The 26,152-nt window shown below is 46.0% G+C and overlaps 1 protein-coding gene and 1 pseudogene across 3 annotated transcripts in view, besides 3 other annotated features; both read right to left on the reverse strand.

The window, feature by feature from the left end:
* Positions 1-1,700: 1,700 nt before the first annotated feature.
* Positions 1,701-26,152, reverse strand: part of ANKRD16 (ankyrin repeat domain 16) — a 28,278-nt gene continuing 3,826 nt past the window's right edge. The window contains exons 3-8 of one of the 3 annotated variants that reach the window (NM_019046.3): positions 25,808-25,850; positions 24,054-24,162; positions 23,091-23,252; positions 20,383-20,461; positions 18,182-18,372; positions 1,701-2,776 (exon numbers count right to left, since the gene is read on the reverse strand). In NM_019046.3, the coding sequence (NP_061919.1) occupies positions 18,215-18,372; positions 20,383-20,461; positions 23,091-23,252; positions 24,054-24,162; positions 25,808-25,850 (551 nt within the window). In that variant the 3' untranslated portion in view covers positions 1,701-2,776; positions 18,182-18,214. Of the gene's footprint in view, positions 2,777-18,173; positions 18,373-20,382; positions 20,462-23,090; positions 23,253-24,053; positions 24,163-25,807; positions 25,851-26,152 lie in introns of those variants that run through there. The other 2 variants (NM_001009941.3, NM_001009943.3) reach the window with 2 other exon arrangements.
* On the reverse strand, positions 2,283-2,756 carry RPL12P28 (ribosomal protein L12 pseudogene 28; annotated as a pseudogene).
* Positions 2,522-2,571: an enhancer, noted in NCBI's record as "active region_2941". NCBI's record gives its function as "activates an Ori minimal core promoter by ATAC-STARR-seq in GM12878 lymphoblastoid cells {active_cell/tissue: GM12878}" and the evidence as "EXISTENCE:reporter gene assay evidence [ECO:0000049][PMID:35858748]".
* Positions 2,872-2,941: an enhancer, noted in NCBI's record as "active region_2942". NCBI's record gives its function as "activates an Ori minimal core promoter by ATAC-STARR-seq in GM12878 lymphoblastoid cells {active_cell/tissue: GM12878}" and the evidence as "EXISTENCE:reporter gene assay evidence [ECO:0000049][PMID:35858748]".
* Positions 3,142-3,271: an enhancer, noted in NCBI's record as "active region_2943". NCBI's record gives its function as "activates an Ori minimal core promoter by ATAC-STARR-seq in GM12878 lymphoblastoid cells {active_cell/tissue: GM12878}" and the evidence as "EXISTENCE:reporter gene assay evidence [ECO:0000049][PMID:35858748]".

Below are 26,152 nucleotides of genomic sequence, written 5' to 3' on the forward strand. Positions count from 1 at the left end.
GCTGAGGCAGGAGAATCGCTTGAACCCAGGTGATGGAGGTTGCAGTGAGCTGAGATTGTGCCACTGCACTCCAGCCTGGGCGAGAGTGAGACGCCGTCTCAAAAAAAAAAAAAAAGTGCGATACCACACAGCTTTGGTGATGGGTATGCCTGGGAAGGAATCTTGGCAAAAGCGATGTCTGTGGTGCTCAAGACCCATCCCAGCCTCCTGGGCATGTGAGCCCCACACTGCAGACACAGGGAAGTTACCAGCTACATGCCCCAGGCTCCCCTAGGTCCAGATTTTGAGATGTGAGTTGGATTCTGCTAATTGCTTGAGTTTCGGAAAGCAGAAGCGAAAGCCGTATTTCTGCTTCCACTGGCAAAGGCTGCAAGTGATTTTCTGTGGAGTGTTTTCTGATCATTTGGCCTCTCGACTGTAGCAGATGAAGACAGCAAGCTTCTGGAGTTGGAAGCGAAGGCAGCAGCTTCCTATACTGGCAAAGATTTTCCTGATTGAAAAGGCACTTCTTTTTGAGGCCTAGGTCTGAAGTACAGCCCTTGATATCGTCCCTGAAAGTTCAACGAGATTTGTTCTCGAGCCTTCCTGACAATTCTGCATACCATCAGGACCCCGTAACAAATCTTCTGCATAAGCTGGCTCCAATGAACGCTAGTCTCTGCTAACTGAACTGTAGCTGATACAGTTGGCAACCTAAAAAAATGGACAGATCCTTTGATCCGCTTCTAGGAATTTATCTTCCAGTCATTCCCATAAGGACACAAAGATGTGTCCGGCACTGCTGTTTATAATAACTTAAACAACCCCAGAATGTCCTAAAATGTCCAGAAATAGGGAACAGCTTAGACAAATTGTGGCACATCTGAAAGATGGAATGTCAGAAAGAATGCAACATTATGCAAAGTTAAAAAGAATGAGGTAGATCTTTAAGAACTAATGAGAAAATGAAAATAACAAAACAAAAAGAACTAATGAGAAACAATGCACTCAGTTTAAAGTTGCAAGAGTGTTATATGATCCTATTTGGAATAATCTTTATTTGTACTGTCTGAATTATTTTTCCCCAGAAGCAAATATTTTAGAATATAAACTCATTAAAAATGAAATAAAGCGCATGAGTGTTACATCATATATAACCTTATTCAAATCCATGGGTAATTCCTTGAAGGCATACCATGTGCAGGAGCTGTGTGCAGCCTTCTGGGGTTTGTAAGGTGCGTAAGATACAGTAACTGACCCAGGCGGGGTGCGGTGGCTCACGCCTGTAATCCCAGCACTTTGGGAGGCTGAGACGGTTGGATCACCTGAGGTCAGGAGTTTGAGACCAGCCTGGCCAACATGATGAAACCCTGTCTCTACTAAAAATACAAAAATTAGCCGCGCACGGTGGTGGGAGCCTGTAATCCCAGCTACTTGGGAGGCTGAGGCAGAAAAATCACTTGAACCCAGGGGGCGGAGGTTGCAGTGAGCCGAGATCGTACCACTGCACTCCAGCCTGGGCGGCAGAGTGACTCTGACTCATAAAAAGAAATAGTAACTGACCTCCAGGGATGCATGACTCAGTGGCCTTGACTACCACTTATATAAATAGTTCTAACATAAGGCGAACCATGGGATAATTGCTACAAAGTGCAAAGCAGGAACAGGGGCGGAGAAATTAATTCTTGTGAACCTGGAAGACATCTGACGACTCTGCTGGGTGTGGATGAAGAGATTATGCCAAGAGCTAATTTTTATTAAATGCTTTTTCTATTCCTGGGTTCTTTGAGAATCATTGACATTTATTATTTACTACACATCAGACACGGTGTTAAGTGGCTTAGATGAAATGTCTTTTTTTTTTTTGGTTATCAGATAACCCTTTGTGAAAATATTTTCCTTTGCATTCTTTAACTAGCTGGGCATTCCACAGCTTCACTGTTGGTATCATCTGTGATACTATCAACATGGCAGCTCACAGACTGGGCAGGCCCCAGGAATTCTTTTTTTTTTTTTTTTTTTTTGGAGACGGAGTCTTGCTCTGTTGCCCAGGCTGGAGTGCAGTGGCGCATATTCGGCTCACTGCAAGCTCTGCCTCCAGGGTTCACAGCATTCTCCTGCCTCAGCCTCCTGAGTAGCTGGGACTACAGGCGCCCACCACCATGCCTGGCTAATTTTTTTGTATTTTTAGTAAGAGACGGGGTTTCACCACGTTAGCCAGGATGGTCTCGATCTCCTGACCTCATGATCCTCCCGCCTCGGCCTCCCAAAGTGCTGGGATTACAGGCATGAGCCACCGCAACCGGCCCCCAGGAATTCTTTAATGGTTCCAGAGAGTTCTCTGGCTAAAGACTGCTGCTGCATCTGTTAGGCAATGTTGACAATCTCATCAGAAGTGGTGCTACCACTGTGTTTCATGTTTTTGTGTTTCTTTCTTTCTGTCGGTGGTTCCTGAGGGTTGTGACGATCAGGGCAGAGGCAGAAGGCACCACCTCAATCTGGGCCTGTCTGCTGTGGCTGGTCAGTTTCACTATCATCCTCAGACTCTTCCAGTCAATGGTTGGTGATGTCATCAGCAACCATTTTTGGAGACAGACCCAGGGAGCTGACCTTGGGGGCCAGTGCAGATGTGGCACTGACTTCACCACTGGTACACCTCAGATATACAACTTTGATCTCGCTGGGGTCAAACGTAGGTGGCTGCGGTTGGTTGAACTCAGGTTCAGGATGACTGAAGCAAGTTGCACTTGGCTTTCTCTGAGCCGAAAAACGAAAGGTGCTCAGGCTCCCAGCAACTCTGTGAAGAAAGAGTTATTATCATCTCAGTTTACAGATGAAACAGAAGCTCAGAGAGGGCAAGCAGCTAGCACAAGGTCCCACAGCTGGACTCAGGGCTGCTGGCTACAGGGCCTGGCTCTACATGCTGCACAGTCAGAGAGGGAGAGTCCCATGCGCAGTTGGAAGGGAGAAGGGAAGGGGAGGCTGGCGCTAGATAGTAACAAGCTGTGTGTTTTGGGCATTTCCCCTGTACCAGACACTGTGCTAAATGACCCTTCTGCTCTGTTTGCCTGGAAAAGTCCCCATCTTAGTGAATTCTGACTTTCCACCTACTGTCCCGGAGCAGCTGACTGTGGTGGAGAAAACTGCAGGACAGGGACCCTCAGCTGCTGCTATACAGCCAGTGATCCTGCCACGTCCCTGACTCCATGGGCTTTCAACACGAGGCCTCCCCAACGCAGTGTCCACACCAGCATTACTGTGGAACTTGGGAGACATGCAGATCCCACAGGAGAGGGAAGGGGGAGCTGCTCTCAATTCAGATCAAGTTTCCCCTGTGCCAGAAGAATCAGTCCTCCAGATGGGTGGGCAGCACTGGGCCTGAGGTGAATGTTACTGTGCTGTACGCTCACAAAGTTAGAGGGCAGAGCTCATATTAAAGGTTCATACTGAGAGGTGAAGCCAGCTGGACTTCCTGGGTCAAATGGGGACTTGGAGAACTTTTCTGTGTAGCTAAAGGATTGTAAATGCACCAATCAGCACTCTGTAAAAATGTACCAATCAGCGCTCTGTGTCTAGCTAAAGGATTGTAAACATACCAATCAGCACGCTGTAAAGTGGACCAATCAGCACTCTGTAAAATGGACCAATCAGCAGGACGTGGGCGGGGACAAATAAGAGAATAAAAGCTGGCCACCCCCTGCCAGCAGCAGCAACCCACTTGGGTCCCCTTCCACACTGTGGAAGCTTTGTTCTTTTGTTCTTCATAATAAATCTTGCTGCTGCTCATTCTTTGGGTCCACACCAACTTTAAGAGCCATAACACTCACCGTGAGGGTCTGCGGCTTCATTCCTGAAGTCAGCAAGACCACAAACCCACTGGGAAGAACAAACAACTCTGGATGCACCATCTTTAAGACTGTAACACTCACTGCGAGGTCCACGGCTTCATTGTTGAAGTCAGTGAGACCAAGAACGCACCAGAAGGAATAAAGTCCGGATACATTTTGGCGACCCAGATGGGAAACACTCAGGCATCAACAGGCTCACCCTTGAAATGCATCTAAGCCATTGGGACCAGTTTGACCCACAAACCCTGAAAAAGAGGTGGCTCATTTTTTTCTGCACTACAGCCTGGCCCCAATATTCTCTCTCTGATGGGGAAAAATGGCCACCTGAGGGAAGTATAAATTACAATACTATCCTGCAGCTTGACCTTTTCTGTAAGGGAGAAGGCAAATGGAGTGAAATACCTTATGTCCAAGCTTTCTTTTAAGGAGAATCCACAACTATGCAAAGCTTACAACTTACATCCCACAGGAGGACTTCTCAGCTTACCCCCAGATCCTAGCCTCCCTATAGCCCCTTCCTATTAATGATAAGCCTCCTCTAACCTCCCCTGCCCAGAAGGAAACAAGCAAAGAAATCTCCAAGGGACCACAACCTCCCCCCCACCCCTGCTATCGGTTATGTCCTTTTCAAGCTGTATGGGGAGGGGAATTTGGCCCAACCCGGGTACATGTCCCCTTCTCCTTCTCTGATTTAAAGCAGATCAAGGTAGACCTGGGTAAGTTTTCAGATATATCCTGATAGGTATATAGATGTCCCACAGGGTCCAGGGCAAACCTTCAATCTCACCTGGAGAGATGTCATGCTATTGCTAGATCACACCCTGGCCTTTAATGAAAAGAATGCGGCTTTAGCTGCAGCCCGAGAGTTTGGAGATACCTGGAATCTTAGTCAAGTAAATGACAGAATGACAGCCGAAGAAAGGGACAAATTCCCTACTGGTCAGCAAGCCGTCCCCATTATGGATCTCCAGTGGGACCTCAACTCAGACCATGGGTACTGGAGTTGTAAACATCTGCTGATCTGTGTTCTAGAAGGACAAAGGAGAATTAGGAAAAAGCCTGTGAATTATTTGATGATGTCCACCATAACTCAGGGAAAGGAAGAAAATCCTTCTGCCTTCCTCGAGCGGCTACGGGAGGCCTTAAGAAAATATACTCCCCTGTCGCCCGACTCACTCGAGGGTCAATTGATCCTAAAAGGTAAGTTTATTATCCAATCAGCCACAGATATCAGGAGAGAGCTCCAAAAGCGAGCCCTGGGCCCTGAACAAAATCTGGAGGCATTATTAAACCTGGCAACCTCTGTGTTCTATGATAAGGACCAAGAGGAACAGGCTGAAAAGGAAACGTTAGATCAGAGAAAGGCTGCAGCCTTAGTCATGGCCCTCAGACAAACCAACCTTGGTGGTTCAGAGAGCACAGAAAATGGAGCAGGCCAATCACCTGGTAGGGCTTGTTACCAGTGTGGTTTGCAAGGACACCTTAAAAAAGACTGTCCAACAAGAAACAAGCTGCCCCCTCGCCCATGTCCACTATGCCGAGGCAATCACTGGAAGGTGCACTGCCCCAGAGGACAAAGGTTCTCTGGGCCAGAAGCCCCCAACCAGATGATCCAACAACAGGACCGAGGGTGCCCAGGGCAAGCGCCAGCTCATGTCATCACCCTCACTGAGCCCCAGGTATGTTTAACTATTGAGGGCCAGGAAATCGACTTCCTCCTGGACAGTGGCATGGCTTTCTCAGTGTTAATCTCCTGTCCCAGACAGCTGTCCTTGAGGTCTGTTACCATCTGAGGCTCAGTGTTAATCTCCTGTCCCAGACAGCTGTCCTCAAGGTCTGTTACCATCCAAGGAATCCTGGGACAGCCTATAACCAGGTATTTCTCCCACCTCCTCAGTTGTAATTCGGATGCTTTGCTCTTTTCACATGACTTTCTTGTTATGCCTGAAAGTTCCACACCCTTATTAGGGAGGGACATATTAGCCAAAGCTGGAGCTATTATCTACATGAATATGGGGAACGAGTTACTGATTTGTTGTCCCCTGCTTGAGGAGGGAATCAACCCTGAAGTCTGGGCATTGGAAGGAACAAACTCAAGCTCCAGCCTTAAGCCTTCCCACAGGACAAAACTTCTCTTTATACATCACAGAGAGAGCAGAAATAGCTCTTGGGGTCCTTACTCAGACTCATGGGACAACCCCACAACCAGTGGCATACCTAAGTAAGGAAACTGATATAGTAGCAAAAGGCTGGCCTCACTGTTTATGGGTAGTTGCAGCGGTGGCCGTCTCAGTGTTAGAGGCTATCAAAATAATACAAGGAAAGGATCTCACTGTCTGGACTACTCATGATGTAAATGGCATAATAGGTGCCAAAGGAAGTTATGGCTATCAGACAACCGCCTACCTAGATACCAGGCACTACTCCTTGAGGGACCAGTGCTTCAAATACATACGTGTGCGGCCCTCAACCCTGCCACTTTTCTCCCAGAGGATGGGGAACCGATCGAGCATGACTGCCAACAAGTTATAGTCCAGACTTATGCTGCCCGAGATGAATTCTTAGAAGTCCCCTTAGTTAATCCTGACCTTAATCTATATACTGATGAAAGTTCATTTGTGGTGGAGAATTGGATACGAAGGGCAGGTTATGCCATTGTTAGTGATGTAACAGTACTTGAAAGTAAGTCTCTTCCCCAGGGACCAGTGCCCAGTTAGCAGAACTAGTGGCACTTACCCGAGCCTTAGAACTGGGAAAGGAAAGGAGAATAAATGTGTATACAGATAGCAAGTATGCTTATCTAATCCTACATGCCCATGCTGCAATATGGAAAGAAAGGGGGTTCCTAACCTCTGGGGAACCACATTAAATATCACAAGGAAATCATGGAGTTATTGCACGCAGTGCAAAAACCCAAGGAGGTGGCAGTCTTACACCGCCGAAGCCATCAAAAAGGGGAAGGAGAGGGGAGAACAGCAGCGTAAGTGGCTGGCAGAGGCAGGGAAAGACCAGCAGAAAGGAAGGAGAGAAAGAGACAGACAGAGAGAAAGAGAGGAAGAGACAGAGACAAAGGAGTCAAAGAGGGAGACAGAGAGAGGAAGAGACAGAGAGGCTGAAAGTCAAAGAGAGAAGGAGAGAGAGGAAGAGACAGACAAAGAAGAGTCAGAGAGAGAGAAACAGAAAGTCAAAGAAAGAGAGGGAGAGACAAAGAGGGAGTCAGAAGGAGAGAGAAAGACAAAGAAGAAGTCAAAGAGAAAGAAAGAGAGATGGAAATAGTAAAGAAAAAACAGTGTACCCTATTCCTTTAAAAGCCAGGGTAAATTTAAAACCTATAATTGATAATTGAAGGTCTTCTCTGTTACCCTATAACACTCCAATACCACCTTGTTATCAGTGTAAGCAAGGGCGTAGCCTGAAAGTACTGAGGCCACTGACAACCCATAGCCTTCCTATCAAAAATCCTTAACCCAGCAGGTTTCCTAACAGGGGATCTAACTCTTAACTAATTACCATACAAAGGTCCAACCAGACCTAGGAGGAACTCCTTCAGGACAGGACCATAGATGGTTCCTCCCCGGAGATTAAGGAAAAAAGACACAATGGGTATTCAGTAAGTGATAAGGAAACTCTTGAAGAAACAGAGTTAGGAAAATTGCCTAATAATTGGTCTGCTCAAACCTGCGAGCTATTGGCACTCAGCCAAACTTTAAAGTACTTACAGAATCAGGAAGAAGCCATCTATACCATTTCTAAGATAATATGGACTGAACGAGGTTTTATTAATAGCAAAGAAAAATTAAAATCCCAAACTTATAAGGTTTTCAACAAAAGTAAAGTTTGCTAAAATTTAACAGTGTAACATGTATTATCCTAACCTCTAATCTTATGGAAATCAGACCCTATCAGCGCCCCTCAAAGCTCAAGTCCATCAGTGCAGAGCCATCCACTAATACCCCTACTTATAGGGTTAGGAATGGCCACTGCTACAGGAACCGGAATAGCCAGTTTATCTACTTCATTATCCTACTACCACACACTCTCAAAGGATTTCTCAGACAGCTTGCAAGAAATAACAAAATCTATCCAGTAAGGATAGTAACTACGATCCCAAATAGACTCTTTGGCAGCAGCGACTCTCCAAAACTGCCGAGGCTTGGACCTCCTCACTGCTGAGAAAGGAGGACTTTGCACCTTCTTAGGGGAAGAGTGTTGCTTTTACACTAACCAGGCAGGGATAGTACGAGATGCCGCCTGGCGTTTACAGGAAAAGGCTTCTGAAATCAGACAACGCCTTTCAAACTCTTATACCAACCTCTGGAGTTGGGTGACATGACTTCTCCCCTTTCTAGGTCCCGTGACATCCATCTTGCTATTACTCACCTTTGGGCCCTGTATTTTTAACCTCTTTGTCAAATTTGTTTCCTCTAGGATCGAGGCCATCAAGCTACAGATGGTCTTACAAATGGAACCCCAAATGAGCTCAACTAACTTCTACTGAGGACCCCTGGACCAAACTGCTGGCCCTTTGACTGGCCTAAAGAGTTCCCCTCTAGAGGACACTACAACTGCAGGGACCCTTCTTTGCCCCTATCCAGCAGGAAGTAGCTAGAATGGTCATCACCCAATTCCCAGTAGCAGTTGGGGTGTTCCGTTTAGAGGGTGGGTTGAGAGGTGAAGCCAGCTGGATTTCCTGGATCAAGTGGGGACTTGGAGAACTTTTCTGTCTAGCTAAAGGACTGTAAATGCACCAATCAGCACTCTATAAAAATGCACCAATCAGCGCTCTGTGTCTAGCTAAAGGATTGTAAACACACCAATCAGCACTCTGTAAAATGGACCAATCAGCAGGATGTGGGTGGGGACAAGTAAGGGAATAAAAGCTGGCCACCCCCAGCCAGCAGCGGCAACCCACTCGGGTCCCCTTCCACGCTGTGGAAGCTTTGTTCTTTTGCTCTTCATAACAAATCTTGCTGCTACTCACTCTTTGGGCCCACGCCACCCTTAAGAGCTGTAACATTCACTGCGAGGGTCTGCGGCTTCATTCCTTAAGTCAGCAAGACCACGAACCCACCAGGAGGAACAAACAACTCTGAATGTACCATCTTTAAGATCATAACACTCACCGCAAGGTCTGTGGCTTCATTCTTGAAGTCAGCAAGACCAAGAACCCACCAGAAGGAATAAATTCTGGACACAATACCACAAAAAGACAAAGAAAGCAAAGGTGCGGGAAGAAACTTTTGGACAAGTTTGTCCAACCTGTGGCCCAGGTGGCTTTGAATGTGGCCCAACACAAATTTGTAAATTTTCTTAAAACATTGAGATGTTTTGCGATTTTTTTTTTTAAAGCTCATCAGCTATCTTTAGTGATAGTGTAGTTTATGTGTGGCCCAAGACAATCATTCTTCTTCCAATGTGGCCCAAGGGAGACAAAAGATTAGATACCCTGCTTTTGGAGGCGAGGGATGTGTTTATTGCCTTGGCCGTGGTGATAGTTTCCTGGGAGCACAAATATGTCTGAATTAATCAAACTGTATATATCAAGGATGTGCAGCTTTGTGTACCAATTATACCTCAGTAAAACCATTACAAAAAGGAAAAGAACAAAGGAAATGCAAATTCCTAGAGTCCACCCTGGACCTACAGGCCCAGCTCTCTGGGGCTGCCCAGCCACCTGTGTCCAGCAAGGTGGGGGCCTGAGAAGCACTGCCCAGGCCTTTGCTCCCCTAATGGACTATTTCACCCTTCCCTAACTCGTCAGACCTCCCATACCACATCCTCACTCTCAGCTGATCACCTGCTTTCCTATTTCACTGAGAAGTCGAAGCACCTAGAAGACAGCTTGGTGTTTCCCAGCACCAAGGGCCCCAGCTCCTGCTCAGCACCCTTCTGCTCAGCTTTCCCTCTTGAGGCTGGGGAGGAACCGGCAGGGTGAACGCGAGTATTTCTCCTCATGCACAAGAAGCTACTCAATGCAGCAGCTATGGCCGCCCCTGGGAACTAGCTGGAAGCAGCTGGGGGTTGCTGGGGGGAGGGGTGGGTGGGTGGGAATCTGCATCTTTAATAGTTTCTAATTTCAACTTTTATTTTAAATACAGGGGGTACATGTGCAGGTTTGTTACCTGGGTATATCGCGTGATGCTGAGGTCTGCAGTAAGGATCGCATCACTTAGCATGGTATCCAGTAGGTAGTTTTTTTGACTGGCCCCCGCACCCCTGGACTCTCTCCCTCTGAGAATCTGCATTTTTCTTTTTTTCAGGATCCCTAGGTTTGAAGGAATCTGCATTTTAACAAGACTCTAGTTGCTTCGTACAGACATTAGACTCATTCCTCCTCCTCACTTTCTGTTGGACCATTCTCTCAGCAATCTGTAAACTGTAATCTGCTCCATTAAAAAAACCAAAACATCGATCCACATCCCTCTCCACTGCTTCATTTGCAAGCTCCAGGTTCTGCCTTCCCATTCTCTCTCAAACCTGCTCTGATCTTTGTCCAGCTCCTCACCGACCCCTTCACGGAGGCCCCCAGTGCACCTGCGCAGTGAGGTCAGCTTCGCAGGGGCCCCCAGTGCACCCGCACAGTGAGGTCAGCGTTGGCTCTTGGCCTCTCTTCCCTGCGACTCTGCCCGGGCACCAGCCAGTCCTCATTCCCTCCCTACTGCTTTTTTTTTTTTTTTTTGAAACAGGGTTTTGCTCTGTCACCCAGGCTGGAATACAAAAGTGCAATCATAGCTCACTGCAGCCTTGACCTCCTGGGCTCAAGGAATTCTCCCACCTCAGCTTCCTTGGTAGCTGGGACTACAGGCACACCACGCCCAGCTAATTTTTTGTATTTTTTGTAGAGGCAGGGTCTCACCATGTTGTCCAGGCTGGTCTCAAGCCATCTGCCCGCCTTGGCCTCCCAAAGTGTTGGGATTACAGGCGTGAGCCACGTGCCTGGCCATTGCTATTTTTAAAATGTTGTTTCAATTACCCCCAGGGTGTCACTCCCCTTCAGGATGCTTTGGGCCTTCCAGAGTAGGAAGAGTAACAAGAGACCTGGTTCACCTGTGGTGAAGCCAGGAGAGGTGTCATGTTGGTTGAAATGCCTGCAGAACCCTCCTGTTGCTGTGCTCAGGCCAGAAGCTGCACAGAGCATGGGCCGATAAATGCATCCACTCCCCGTGCTTTCCCAGGAGCGCCCAGGCCTGTCCTCAGTATCAAGTCAATCACATTTTCAGCATGGTAGGAGGAGGCAGGTTCTGCAAATGCTGCAGGGTGGGTTAATCACACAGGCCAATCAAGTCCCTGTCGTCACCACGATTGGCAGAGGCCAGCCCTCACTCCCATCTTGTTTCCTTCTCAGTAAAAATCATGTCACGCAGCCAGGCTTGGTGGTTCACGCCTGTAATCCCAGCACTTTGGGAGGCCAAGGTGGGCGGATCACCTGAGGTTGGGAGTTCGAGACCAGCCTGACCAACATGGAGAAACCCTGTCTCTACTAAAAATAGAAAAATTAGCCAGGTGTGGAGGCGCACGCCTGTAATCCCAGCTACTCAGGAGGCTGAGGCAGGAGAATCGCTTGAACCCGGGAGGCAGAGGTTGCTGTGAGCCGAGATTGAGCCATTGCACTCTAGCCTGGGCGACAGAGCTAGACTCCAACTCAAATAAATAAATAAATAAATAAATAAATAAATAAATAAATATCACACCACATCACTCTTTCCAACTGAAAGAGTGTAATTTAAAAAAGTGTAAAAACTGCCAAATGTAAGTCCACATTATTATCCATTCTTGTAGGAAACGTAATAAATGTGCTCCACAAATCCCCCACCCTCCTAGATACTGGCATTGAATGAGGCGCCCACGTGGGCTCTGCCCTGAACTTTTCTTCCTTCTTGCCCTTCTTCTTTCCTTCATGCCTCTGAGAAGGAAACTCTCCTTCTGCATCTGGAGCTGAGCTCCCCAAGGGCTTCTAAGCCTACTTCCCACACCTTCCGAAGAGCCTTATCCCACAGAGCCCTCACTCCCTCACCGCTGGCTTCCTCCCTCTGTGGGCTCCTTTCCCAGTCTGTAAACATGCCACATGCTCATCCCCTCACTCACCCTCTCGGAGAAAACTACTGTCCTGTCAAACTGCTTTCTTCTTTCCTTTCCTTCACCACACAATGCAGCCAAGGGTGCAGAGAGTTGCTCAGGCCCCTGTGCAGCCCATATCTCCCACCCACTCGCATGGCCCAACCTCCAGTGATCAAATCCAACAGCCGTTTCTGTCCCCAACCTGCCGCCCTTGCCTCCAGTTGAATTTGACAGAGATTACTCTGTCTACATCTTAAAAAAACGGAAACCAATGAAAGAGGCAACACACAAGACTCAATATGGACAGTAATACGATGGAGCATAAGACGGCCATGAAACACGACATTCACAAAGTTTTAAAGAGCATTAGGATTTGCTTGTAAAATAAAGTTAGAGGGCCAAGTGTGGTGGCTCACACCTGTAAACCTAGCACTTTGGGAGGCTGAGGCGGGCGCATCACTCGAGGTCAGGAGTTTGAGACCAGCCTGGCCAACATGGTGAAACCCTGTCTCTACTAAAAATACAAAAATTAGCCAGGCATGGTGGAGGGCGCCTGTAATCCCAGCTACTCAGGAGGCTGAGGTATGAGAATTGCTTGAACCCAGGAGGTGCAGGCTGCAGTGAGCCGAGATTACGCCACTATACCCCGGCCTGGGTGACACAGCAAGACTGTCTCCAAAATAAATAAATAAACAAAGTTAAGGGAAAAACTGCACGTGCAGCATCAGCTCAACCGTATGCATTTTATTTATTTTTTATGTAGGTATTTTTTTTGAGATGGAATCTCACTCTGTTGCCCAGGCTGGAGTGCAGTGGCGCGATCTCAGCTCACTGCAAGCTCCACCTCCTGGATTCACGCCATACTCCTGCCTCAGCCTCTCGAGTAGCTAGGACTACAGGCGCCCGCCACCACACCCGGCTAATTTTTTGTATTTTTAGTAGAGACGGGATTTCACCGTGTTAGCCAAGATGGTCTTAATTTCCTGACCTCGTGATCTGCCCCCCTTGGCCTCCCAAAGTGCTGGCATTACAGGCGTGAGCCACCGCGCCCGGCCCTGCATTTTATTTTTTATTTCTTGAGAGGGAGTCTCACTCTGTCACCCAGGCTGGAGTGCAGTGGTGTGATCTCGGCTCACTGCAGCCTCTGCCTCCTGGGTTCAAGCGATTCTATGCCTCAGCCTTCCAAGCAGCTGGGACTACAGGTGTGCCCCACCACACCTGGCTAATCTTTTTTTTTTTTTTTTTCTGAGACAGAGTCTTGCTCTGTCGCCCAGGCTGGAGTGCAGTGACATGATCTCAGCTCACTGCAACCTCCGCCTCCCGGGTTTAAGCAATTCTCCTGCCTCAGCCTCCCAAGCAGCTGGAACTACAGTCGCATGCCACCATGCCCAGCTAACTTTTTTGTATTTTTAGTACAGACAGGGTTTCACTGTGTTAGCCAGGATGGTCTCGATCTCCAGACATCATGATCCGCCCGCCTCGGCCTCCCAAAGTGCTGGGATAACAGGCATGAGCCACCGTCCCCAGCACGCCTGGACAATTTTTGTATGTTTAGCAGAGATGGGGTTTCACCATATTAGCCAGGCTAGTCTTGAACTCCTGACCTCAAGTGATCTGCCCGCCTCGGCCTCCCAAAGTGCTGGGATTATAGGTAGGGGCCACCGTGCTCAGCCCTATATGCATTTTTAAAGACTAAGGGAAAATAAGAGTGGTTCCATCTGGGTGGTGGAACTATAGATTATTTTTGTTTTCTCCTTTACTATCTTCTGTATTTTACAATAGGCCTTACAAACAAAAGTCTGGGAGATTAAAAGGGACATTTTTCTGGTCTGCCACCTGCTGGTGGATTCTAGCAACGTCCTGGGTTAAATTAAATTCAGTGCTTGCTCCTCCCTCTTCTCACTGTCTGAGCACCCTCCCTATAGTTCCCTCCAGCTTCTTTAGCCTGACTTTTGCCATCTCGTTTCCATTTTGTGATCCTTTCCCTCTTGTCTTGTGTATTTTCTCGTGTAAGTTTTTTTGGTAATATATGTTAGGTCCTCGCTATTTTCAGGTCATTACAATTTTTACCTCTTTGCATCTCTTTTCAGCGACTTCTGCTTTTTTTTTTTGAGACGGCGTCTCGCTCTGTTGCCAGGCTGGAGTGCAGTGGTGATCTTGGTTCACTGCAACCTCCAACTCCCGGGTTCCAGTGATTCTCCTGCCTCAGCCTCCCAAGTAGCTGGGATTACAGGCGGGTGCCACCACGCCTGGCTAATTTTTGTATTTTTAGTAAAGACGGGATTTCACCATGTTGGCCAGGATGGTCTCGATCTCCTGACCTTGTGATCTGCCTGCCTCAGCCTCCCATAATACTGGGACTACAGGTGTAAGCCATCGTGCCTGGGCGAGACTTCTGCTTTGATTGAGCTTAGTAACACACACTCACCATGGGAGCGGGTGTGCTTTTAGGACAAGCTGACAGCCCTGGTGGAAGTGGGTGTTAGTTAAGGCAATCAGAAATCCTGGCAAGTGTAGTACGTGCTCTGGGAGGCAGGTTAAGCCACAATTGGCAATCAATGCCCTTGGTCACATTAGTGAGAACGCCCTGGCAGCCATGTGGAGGGTGGATTTGAGGACTTGGAGAGGTGTATTTAAGACATGGCTGCCACTCTCTAGGAGGAGAGTGAGAGAGCTTGGGCAGGAGTCGCAGTAGGGATGGTGTGGAACAGGCAGATTAGAGAGCCGCCCAGCAGCTGTCCTCTGCAGGGACTCCTTAAGAGGGAGGAGTCATGACTGACCCCCAGCTTTCCAACACAGGTTGGGTGAGCTGTGATGCCACCAACCAAGGCAGGAATGCAGGCCTGTATGTCAGTGGGTTGTGGGGAAGGCTGGGTTTTGAATAAACTGAATGTGAGATGGCCTCAGAACATCCATGCAGAAACGTAAGCAGGCAGTGGAAAGTAAGGGCTAGAGAGAGATCTGAGTGTTACTGACATTAGGGTGTAGCTGAAACCCGAGGCATGGACGACAACGCTTCAGGAGAAAATCCAGAATGACGGAGATGCTGGAGACAGAAGCTGGTACGCATGAGCACGGAGGGCCAGCCTGACAGAGGAGTGCAGAGGCAGAGAAGGAAAAGGCAGAAAGAAAAACCCAGGAGTGCATTATTGCATGTGGCAACAGTCCAGAAGGGGTAGTGATCAGTAAGTGAACTGAAAGGGTCAGTAATCTAAGGGCTAAAAGTACATCACTTGAAATGGCAAGCAGGACGTCACTGGTATCTGAAAGGAAGAGTCTGCACAGAGCAGCAACAACGACGCCAGACTGCGGGGGGTGGGAGGTGCCTATGAGCTGAGGGTATCAAGTAGAGACTCTTCATGAAAGTGTGTATGGGAAAAGATGCTCCAGAGGGAATAATAATGAGAAGGGGCTGCAGGGTGCAAGAGTCAGAGGACAAAATGAGACAATCTAGGTAAGGGCTTAGCACACTATCTCGCATTTACTAAGTGCTCAATGCACATAAAGGGCTTTTATCGCCCATTCATTAACTATATAATAATTTTAAATTTAAATGACAAAAATCAGTCCAAGGAGCCTGCATACCAGTCGGGGAGAAAAACAATCAACAAAATAAATAAATTATATGGTACATTTGCTAATAGCAAATGCTAAGAAGAAAAAATAAACTGGGGAAAGAAGATATCAAATGTTGAAGAAAAGGACACAATTTTAGATAGGGTGGCCTGGGCAGGCCTCGCTGAGAAGGTGGCTTGTAGGTAAAGACCCAAAGGAGGTGAGTAAAGTAACTATAATTAGGGAGTAATAGAAAAATATTAGTTATCATTGCCAGAGCATTCTTCATATATTATTGTTATGGAAACATCTGGTTATTATTCTATTATTGCTACTCTCTTTGCTGCAATTAATGTTCTTTTTTTTTTTTTTTTTGAGACAGAGTCTCATTCTGTCACCCAGGCTGGAGTGCAGTAGTGCAATCTCGGCTCACTGCAACCTCTGCCTCCCAGATTCAAGCGATTCTCCTGCCTTAGCCTCTCAAGTAACTGGGATTACAGGCGCCTGCCACCATGCCAGGCTAATTTTTTTGTTTTGTTTTGTTTTGAGATGGAGTCTTGCTCTGTCACCCAGGCTGGAGTACAGTGGCACGATCTCGGCTCACTGCAACCTCCGCCTCCGGAGTTAAAGCGATTCTCCTGCCTCAGCCTCCCAAGTAGCTGGGATTACAGGCGCATGCCACCACGCCGGGCTAATTGTTGTATTTTTAGAAGAAACTGGGTTTCACCATGTTGGCCAGGCAGGTCTTGAACTCCTGACCTCAGGTGATCCACCCACCTCAGCCTCCCAAAGTGTTGGGATTACAGGCATGAGCCACCGCGCCCAGCCCACGATTAATGTTCTTATAATCACTGCCATCTCTGGGTGTTTAGTAGTTTCAGCAGTGGCATCCAGTAACCACGGTTTCTATTACAAAGGTGCGTGGAATCTAGGAAAACCGGGGACAACAGTGTAACATGCTGTGTCATCATCATCAGCTGGTTTGTAAGGGCAGAAGCAAAGCCAAGTGGAAGCTGATCGTGCACGCAGCTGCTGCAAACACAAAGCTGCTCATGTGTGTGCTGAGGGGAAAGAGGGCAGTCCCAGACTGATCTTTCAGTCCCACCTGTACACGTGAAATAGCCGCACAACAGGACCATCTTCAGACCTAGAGGGCATTGACGCAGGCATCTCTGGAGGAACAGAAAAGTGGTAACTACATCTCAAATCAGTGCAGATGGAGAGTGTGTAATTTAGAGGTCACAAGACAGGAGTGTTTCTACCAGAACACTGATTTGGTGGTTAGAAACAGGAATCCGCTGATGCCATCTGGGAATAATTAAGACGAACGGGAAATTCTTGCTCTGTGCCAAACCGAGCCCAACGCTGAGAGTAAGGTGGGTGTGTAATAAGCACTTACTGGATCACACTGAATAAGAGGATTCAATGTTGCTTGTGACTGATGCATACAATGATTAAAAAGCCTGATCTAGACTAATAATTATTCTTTGCAATTCAGAGAGAAGGATCAAAAAAGGAAAAGAAAGAAAAGGAAAAAAAAGTAGAAAAAGAATCTAAATGCCTGAGGACTCATCCTATCTTTACTCCGTTTAAGAGGCTATAATATTTTTTAAAGCTAAATGTCAAGTGTTTCATTCCTTAAGTCACAGGCTTCCGTGGGTGGATGGGACAGGCCAGAAAAATGGGTTTTAAAGACAAAACCCCATTCTTAAACTCAGGTTAACAGAAGTTTTGTAAATATCTTAGTTACATTTTCTTTTTTTCTTTTTTTTTTTGAGACGGAGTCATGCTCTGTCGCCCAGGCTGGAGTGCAGTGGCGCTATCTCAGCTCACTGCAACCTCTGCCTCCTGGGTTCAGGCAATTCTCGGGCCTCAGCCTCACTGGTAGCTGGGACTACAGGCATGCACCAGCACAGCTGGCTAATTTTTGTATTTTTAGTAGAGATGAGGTTTTATCATGTTGGCCAGGCTGGTCTTGAACTCCCGGCCTCAAGTGATCTGTCTGCCTCAGCCTCCCAAAGTGCTGGGATTACAGGCACGGGCCACCATGCCCGGTCCTTAGTTACATTTTTTACATGTATTTATTACTTGAAGGGGGTCAATACTGAATTTATCTATTAAAACAAACAAAAACCCTCAAGATTAAAACTTGATAGCTTAACTAGCAGTGCTTAGAATATATAAAAGTTTTTATTAATTTCTTGTAAATGCCTGTGTAAACAGATTATAAGTATGTCCTTCTTGGCTACGAAACCAAAAGTGAACCATTGTAATGGCCAAGTAAAAGCTTATGAAGGAAGAAATTAAATGGGCCAACTGCATTTTATAGCTCAAGCTAATAGCAACGTATGTGATATTTTTGTTATTATTATCACAGCCTTACCATGCAGCAGTTACTATAAGATATTTCATATGTTTGTGAAAGTGTGTATGCTATATTATATTCATGCATGGTACATGCTTCTCTAAGGATCCCACAGCCTGATCGCGCAAACGTTATCTATTCTACTTTAAGAGTACAAAGAGTGAAATATGGACTACGGGAAGATTATGACTGTGCTTGGGACTCCATAATGTGCCTGTCATGGAGCTGGGAACTCAGCCCCCTGATCACTGGGAACTCCTCAGCAGGAGTGGAACATGCAGGATGAGGGAAGGGAGGAAGTGGAGGAGATGGAAAACTGGCTTCCAACTGGTTTCGCTGAATCTGTGACTGACTTAAGAAGCAGGATATGAATTACCATGCACTTTATTGCCTCCTCTTGGAAACATCCTTATGTCATTGCGCTATGGCCAGAGCCCTGAAGGACATCTGCTCTCCTTGGGAGCTGCTGAGCCAGGGTGCCCGTGATGTCTTCAGAATCCTTCAGTCCCGACTGCAGGAGAAACTTGGCACAGGCCAAGTGCTGACCTGCACAGGCCAGATGCAGGGCTGAGGGGTGACAAAAATCACATGGACTTAAAACACAATCCCTGGAGCAATACTGACCTCATGAGTTGATAGTGCCCAATAAAAATATCAATTCTTTCAATATCTTCCGTAATCCATCTTCACAACTTCACCTATACTAGATCAAAATATTTTTGTTTCTAACCTGATTGGGTTGAAAATAGTTTTAAAGATAACAAAACCAGTTAGAGAGGATTTAAGAAATTTATCTAGGCTGGGCGTGGTGGCTCATGCCTGTAATCCCAGCACTCTGGGAGGCTGAGGTAGGCAGATCATGAGGTCAAGAGTGTGAGACTAGCCTGACCAACATGGTGAAACCCCATCTCTAATAAAAATTAAAAAATTAGCCGGGCGTGGTGGTGCATGCCTGTAATCCCAGCTACTCGGGAGGCTGAGGCAGGAAAATCGCTTGAACCCAGGAGGTGGCGGTTGCAGTGAGCACTGCACGCCAGCCTGGGTGACAGAGCAAGACTCTGCCTCAAAAAAAAAAAAAAAAGAAAAAGAAACTTATCTAAAGCAAGAAGCAACAGAGCAAGTTAACAAGATATAGGATACATCCTCTTCATACGCCTGAATGCTCTGGAAACACACTTTAAATGGTACAAAAAACTTTCTAAAAGGCTTATTGAATTTGCTTTGTAAGTAAAAATATCACCACAAATAATCACGTAGCCAAAAAAACACTTTTGAACAAGCTTCCCACTCTGGGTGCAGAAATCAGCACTGAGGTTCCTGGTGTGCTGAGTTCAGGGGCACTGGTGATTCTGCTGCTTTCCCTCCAGCAGAGAAGCTGTGTCCCTTCCTGGGCAGAGCAGCTGCCCTTTCCAGCCCTAGAGTGAGTAGTTAGGTACCTGCGAGTCTTTGAAGCATCAGAAAGATCCCACTAGGCCAGGCGCGGTGGCTCATGCCTGTAATCCCTGCACTTTGGGAGGGCGAGGTGGGCAGATCACTTGAGGTCAGGAGTTTGAGACCAGTCTGGCCAACATGGTGAAACCCTGTCTCTACTAAAAATACAAAAATTAGCTGGGCATGGTGGTGGGCACCCGTAGTCCCAGCTACTTGGGAGGCAGAAGAATCGCTTGAACCCAGGAGGTGGAGGTTGCAGTGAGCCAAGATCGTGCCACTGCCCTCCAGACTGGGTGACAGAGCGAGACTTTGTCTCCAAAAAAAAAAAAAAATTCCACTAAACCCTTGCAAGATGGCCTTTGGCTCACAGAATGTTAGAGGGTTTATTTTAAAGTCCAAGTCTAAAGAATTTGCTCTCAGCAGATGTTTCTGAATATTCTAAATAAAAAAAATCATAATGAATATAGTTTCTAAATATACTCCAAAATGGATGACCTGTGAAGAATTGATACGATACCTGGCTAGCAGGTGTCATCATGGATTAGAAAGAAACTGCTTTTATGATGCATATATTGTTATGGTTTAAAATAACAACAAAGATTAACAACAGCAGTTGTAATGAGTGGCAGTCATCATCACTGTTATAATAACAATTATATGAAGGCTTTGCAGAGAAAAAGATATTTTAAGGAAAAGTAGCTGAGCTATTAGAAGAATAACATTAAGGCTGGTCACAGTGGCTCATGCCTGTAATCCCAGCACTTTGGGAGGCCAAGGCAGGTAGATTGTTTGAGGTCAGGAGTTCAAGACCAGCCTGGCCAACATAGGGAAACCCCATCTGTACTAAAAATACAAAAATTAGCCAGGCATGGTGGTGCATGCCTGTAATTCCAGCTACTTGGGAGGCTGAGACATGAGAATCACTTGAGCCAGGAGGTGGATGTTGCAGAGAGCTGAGATGGCGTGCCACTGCACTCCAGCCTGGGCAACAGAGGGAAACTCTTGTCTCAACACCACCACCACTAAAAAAAAAAAAAAAAAAAAAAAAAAAAAGGAAGAATATTAAAATCATTGTTTTAAATATAAAAGTGTATTGGTTATACTCAGTTTACTAATTTCCAAGGCATATATAAAATTAAACGGTACCTGATCGATTTTTTTCATCTTTAGAATTGATGTCAGCTCCCAAGGATAAGAGAGTCTGAATTGTACTTGTATGTCCTTCCTGAATTGAAACAAATTTGTTATCACTGTGATGAGGATAAAAGAAAACCTTTTGCAAACCAAAAAGTATCTGAGACAGGTCTCAATCAATTTAGAAGTTTATTTTGCCAAGGTTAAGGACATACCTGAGAGACAGGTCTGTGTCTCTCTCCAAAGATGATTTTGAGGGCTTCAATATTTAAAGGGGAAAAGAGGGCTGGAGTGAAGAGGAGGAGGGTATGGTCACATTACTGAATCCACATTGCAGGATAAAAGGAGCAGGGGGGGGATTAGGCAATGATACATTAAATATCTCTTTCCACTCAGTAAATTGGCACTTTACATAAGATAAGGTGAATATAAAGTAGCTACCTGTGGAAATATTTAACCCTTTATCTGTAGCTATCTGCTTAGGAACAAAAGGAAAGGCAGCTTTCTGCATGACTCAGCTTTCAGCTTAATTTTTTTTCTTTTGGCAGAGTGAGTTGGGGGTCTTACGTTTTTATTTTCCTTTCACACTTTAAACACAGACTCTAACATATATTAGGCACCTTTTCTAAAACAGTCGACTGCTAAAAGTGAATTTTCATCTTTTTTTCCCTAATTTATTCTTTTTTTTTTTTTTGTAGAGACAAGGTCTCACTATGTTGTCCAGACTGATCACAAACTTCTGGGCTCAAGGGATCCTCCTGTCTCAGCCTCCCAAAGTGTTGGGATTACAGGTGTGAGCCACTGCGCCCAGCCAAATTTTCATATCTAAAGTAAGATATTGTATCATTCTCAATTCTAATATAAATCATTAAATAAATATTTTGGTGACATTTAATTATTAGAATATAGATGATCAACTCTGTGAGCCAAATTACTGACCCAATGCAGTTAGTTTCCATCATTGTGAGCAGTACAAATCTTGTGATTTATACAGAACCCAAAACTCTAAAATTTCCCAAGCAAATATACTCTTTGTTGAAATCTTTAGGGGAGAGATAAACTAGAAAAGATCATAACCGCTCATAAATGGGAATTCCTATTACAGCTAGTAGGAATTATTATAATAAATATTTTATAAAATAAAAATATTATTTATATATATATATATATATATATATATATATATATATATATATTTGAGATGTAGTCTCACTCTGTTGCTTGGCTGGGGTGCAGTGGCATGATCTTGGCTCACTGCAACCTCCACCTCCCGGGTTCAAGCGATCCTTCTGCCTCAGCCTCCTGAGTAGCTGGGACTAGTGGCATGTGTCACCACCCCCAGCTAATTTTTTTGTATTTTTTAGTAGAGACAGGGTTTCACCATGTTGGCCAGGATGGTCTTGATTTTTTTTTTTTTTTTTTGACACAGTCTCACTCTGTCGTCCAGGCTGGAGTGCGGTGGTGCGATCTCGGCTCACTGCAAGCTCCTCCTCCCAGGTTCACACCATTCTCCTGCCTCAGTCTCCCTAGTAGCTGGGACTACAGGCACCTGCCACCATGCCCGGCTAATTTTTTGTATTTTTAGTAGAGACGGGGTTTCACCGTGTTAGCCAGGATGGTCTCGATCTCCTGACCTCACGATCCACCTGCCTCAGCCTCCCAAAGTGCTGGGATTACAGGCTTGAGCCACTGCGCCTGGCCGGTCTCGATCTCTTGACCCCGTGATCCGCCCGCCTTGGCCTCCCAAAGTGCTGGGATTACAGGAGTGAGCCACTGCGCCTGGCCTATAAAATAATTTATACACTCTTTGTCTAGCCAGTTAGTCTGCTACTATGTGATGAGACTACAGTTAAGGTTCCAGGTTCACTCTTCCTATGGGAGCACCCTGCGGCCACAGAGCACATCATGTGTATCTACCCAGCTGCTCGAAAGCAGGACATCAGGCAGGAAAATGTAATTGATCAGAAAAACAAGTAGGCCGGGCATGGTGGCTCACGCCTGTAATCCCAGCACTTTGGGAGGCCGAGGTGGGTGGATCACAAGGTCAAAAGTTCGAGACCAACCTGGCCAACGTGGTGAAACCCCGTCTCTACCAAGAATACAAAAATTAGCCAGGCATGGTGGCAGGCACCTGTAATCCAGCCTGGGCAAAAAAGCAAGACTTTATCTCAAAACAAAAACAAAAACAAACAAACAAACCAAAAAAAAAAAACAAAAAATAAGTAAAAGCATAAAGCCAATAGATAATGTTAAGGATAATATGCAAAACGCTCCTAGCATTTAAAACAGCTACTTTTCCAGTGAAAATGTTTGCTTATCTTCAATATACCCCAGAGAGCCTAGTAAATGCAATTCTCTTGCCCTGGCTGAAGAGTTCTTAACTTCTGAAATCCAGTATAAGAACAGAGAGCCAGGAATTTCATACAATGGGTATTTATAGCTTCAAATAACGTTATTCCTGAAAACAAAAACCTGTGTGTGAGGGGGAGGCACTTTATGGAGTAAAAGGCTTTTTTTTAAAGTTTTGTCTAGCAACAAATTCAAGTCAGGTTTCTATTTAAAGAGATAAAGCGCTTCAGAATCCTGACCATTTCAGAAGAATATCATGGGCAATTTCTTCCATAGAGATGGGGTCAAAGAAACCAGGCTGCAGAGCTACTGATCAAAGAAGTAAGGCAAGCCTCAGGGAAGCTCGGACAACGTTATAAGAAGTAACAAACCTTAGCTGCATAATGAAGTGCTGTGAGGTGGGTTGATGTGGCTCTCACATCTACATCGACGCCAAGTTCAGAGACCAAGAATCGGATGGCTTCGTCCTGCCCTGTGACAGCTGCCCTGTGCAGAGCCTGGGCACCCAGGCTGTCTTCTGCTGAAAGGCAAGCCTAGTGGGCAGAGGAGAGAAAGGAGCAAAGGTCAAAGATAAGAAACAGGGCAACTTAGATCTGGGCATCTGCTGGCACTTCAGCAAAACTGAGCTGTTTACGCACAACTCTCTGGGCAGAGGATATGTGGCTTTTGTCTGATTTTCAAAGGATTCTTTTTTTTTGAGACGAAGTCTCACTCTGTTGCTCAGGGTGGAGTGCAGTGGCACAATCTTGGCTCACTACAACCTCCATCTCCTTGGTTCAAGCGAGTCTCTTGCTTCAGCCTCAGGTGTGTGCCACCACACCTGGCTAATTTTTATATTTTTAGTAGAGATGGGTTTTAACATGTTGGCTAGGCTGGTCTCAAATTCCTGACCTTAGATGACCCACCCGCTTTGGCCTCCCAAAGTGCTGGGATTACAGGCATGAGCCATCACGCCCTGCTCTCAAAAAAGGGCTCTCTAATCAAAAAGATGGTTATGATTCAATGTTCCAGGCTATGGTGCCAAAAGCACTATCAGCAGAGACAGTTTGTTGTTATTATTGCTATAAAACAGCTACCATTTACTGAATATTTTGCTAACTGCTTTATGTACATTATATTATTTAATCCTTGTAAAACTTTCTGAAGAAACTACATTTCTCTCCATTTTACAGATGGGAACACTGGTGCTTAAAGAGGTCACCAAGTTCCAGAGAGAGAGTTTGGAGGGGCTGGGGAATGGAACCTGGGATCTGAGTAACAATGTGCTCTGCTTAACCTGTGACCTAAAATTTATAGGAAGAACCAAAAGAATAAAAACACAACCATTTTTATACCCCATGTTCATCGAGGAGCAGCCTAGCGACGTCGATGTGCCCACACTGGATTGCGTCCATCAAGGCGGTGACGCCACAGTTGTCTCTGTAGTCTGGTTCATATTGGCACCTAGAGCCAAAACCCCAAGTAAGAGCTGAGAAAATTCAATACCTCAAACCCAGGGGACAGTTGACACCTGATCACCTGCAGGTGAACTGCGTGTGTGCAAATGACCTGTGAGCATGGAGCTCTCTCTATTCTCCCCCATCTCAGTGTCCGAACTGAGCACTAAGCCTTCAGGAGCGTGATGGTCTTCCCTAGCAGACCTGCTGCTCCTCTAACCTTCTCCATCCCATTTGACAGCACTTGGTCTCTTCAGCTTCCTGCACCAGAGACCTGGAAGCCACCCCTTGCCACTGCCTTTCCTGCATCCTTCATAATCAATTGATTACCCCCATCCTTCAATTCCACAGCCAAAATATTTAAGACATCTGTGTCTGAGCTGGGCACAGTGGCTCACGACTGTAATCCCAGCACTTTGGGAGGCCGAGGTGGGTGGATCACCTGAGGTCAGGAGTTCAAGACCAGCCTGGCCAATGTGGTGAAACCCCGTCTCTACCAAAAATATAAAAAATTAGCCAGGTATGGTGGCATGCACCTGCAATCCCAGCTACTTAGGAGGTTGAGGCAGGAGAATCGCTTGAACCTGGGAGGTGGAGGTTGCAGTGAGCTGAGATTGCACCATTGCAGTCCAGCCTGGGTGACAAAAGCAAAACTCCATCTCAAAAACTAAAAAAAAAAAAAAAAAAAGGAAAATCCTCAATGTGGCTGATAGCATTCATTCTCCCACCCCTTCACTGTTCAGGCTCAGCATATTCTAGGCGTCTTTTGTTTTCTTAAATGTACCACAGTTGTTCCTGGTTTGGAGCATCCGTGGGTGCTGTTATTGCTGTCTGGAATGGTCCCTTGCCTCCCGCTTTCAGCTAATTTCTTTTTCTCCTTCAGGTCACAGCTTAAACACTGGCGCTGAGATTCTTTACTCTTAAGCCAAATTGGGTCTTCCCATTATTTGTTCTGTAGGGATCCTGCAAGTCCTTGTAATGCACAACAGACTTTCGGGACTCCTTCATGGTCTGTCTTTCCTGCCAGTCTGTTGAGTTCCAGGAGGGTAGAAACTACATGTGTCTTCTTTCTGTTGTGGCCCTTGCACCTGGTACAGGGCTTTATTTATTTTTTATTTATTTTTTTTTGAGACAGAGTCTTGCTCTGTTGCCAAGGCTGGACTGCAGTGGCGCGATCTCGGCTCACTGCAAGCTCCGCCTCTTGGGTTCACGCCATTCTCCTGCCTCAGCTTCCTGAGTAGCTGGGACTACAGGCGCCCGCCACCACGCCCGGCTAATTTTTTTTGAATTTTTAGTAGAGACAGGGTTTCGCTGTGTTAGCCAGGATGGTCTCGATCTTCTGACCTTGTGATCCGCCCGCCTCGGCCTCGCAAAGTGCTGGGATTACAGGCGTGAGCCACCGAGCACTAAATGAATGTATAAATGCTCGTTGAAAAAAATAGAGAAATGGATGATTTTGCCGCTGAAAACATTTTCCCCAGATATTTGTTATTTTTGTTTCATATTCTTTATCTGCTATGTCTTTTGTTCATTTTTCTTTTGAAAGCCTAATTTTTTTCTTAAAAATGTGTCTGAGCTCTTTATGTAGCACTGATATCAACTCTTTGTCATAGTTAGCAAATATTTTCCCTGACTTGCTGTATTGTTCTTACCTCTTAAGAAGCACCTTGACTGCCTCCAAATGGCCATGCATTGCTGGGAGGAGAAAGAAAGCTGAGAATTAGAGCTTTTTAGTGCACACACAAAATGCTTCCTGCCTCCTGGCTTTGCTCTCTGCCCCGTTCTATTAGTGATAGCTTACAAGAAGGAGTCATTAAATTGGGTACACTGTTACCGCCCTACACGAATAAATATTTAACTGGATAAAGCGGTAAACAATAATGTTTTCACTTTATATGTACACAGCCAACACTTGATTATCTTATCTTCACGTGCACTTTCATGGGAAACTTTCAATCCTAAAGTTACACTTCTGTGCTGTGGATCCCCAAGACTAG

The sequence above is a fragment of the Homo sapiens genome, chromosome 10, assembly GCF_000001405.40.
Source record: "Homo sapiens chromosome 10, GRCh38.p14 Primary Assembly".
NCBI classification, from domain to species: domain Eukaryota; kingdom Metazoa; phylum Chordata; class Mammalia; order Primates; family Hominidae; genus Homo; species Homo sapiens.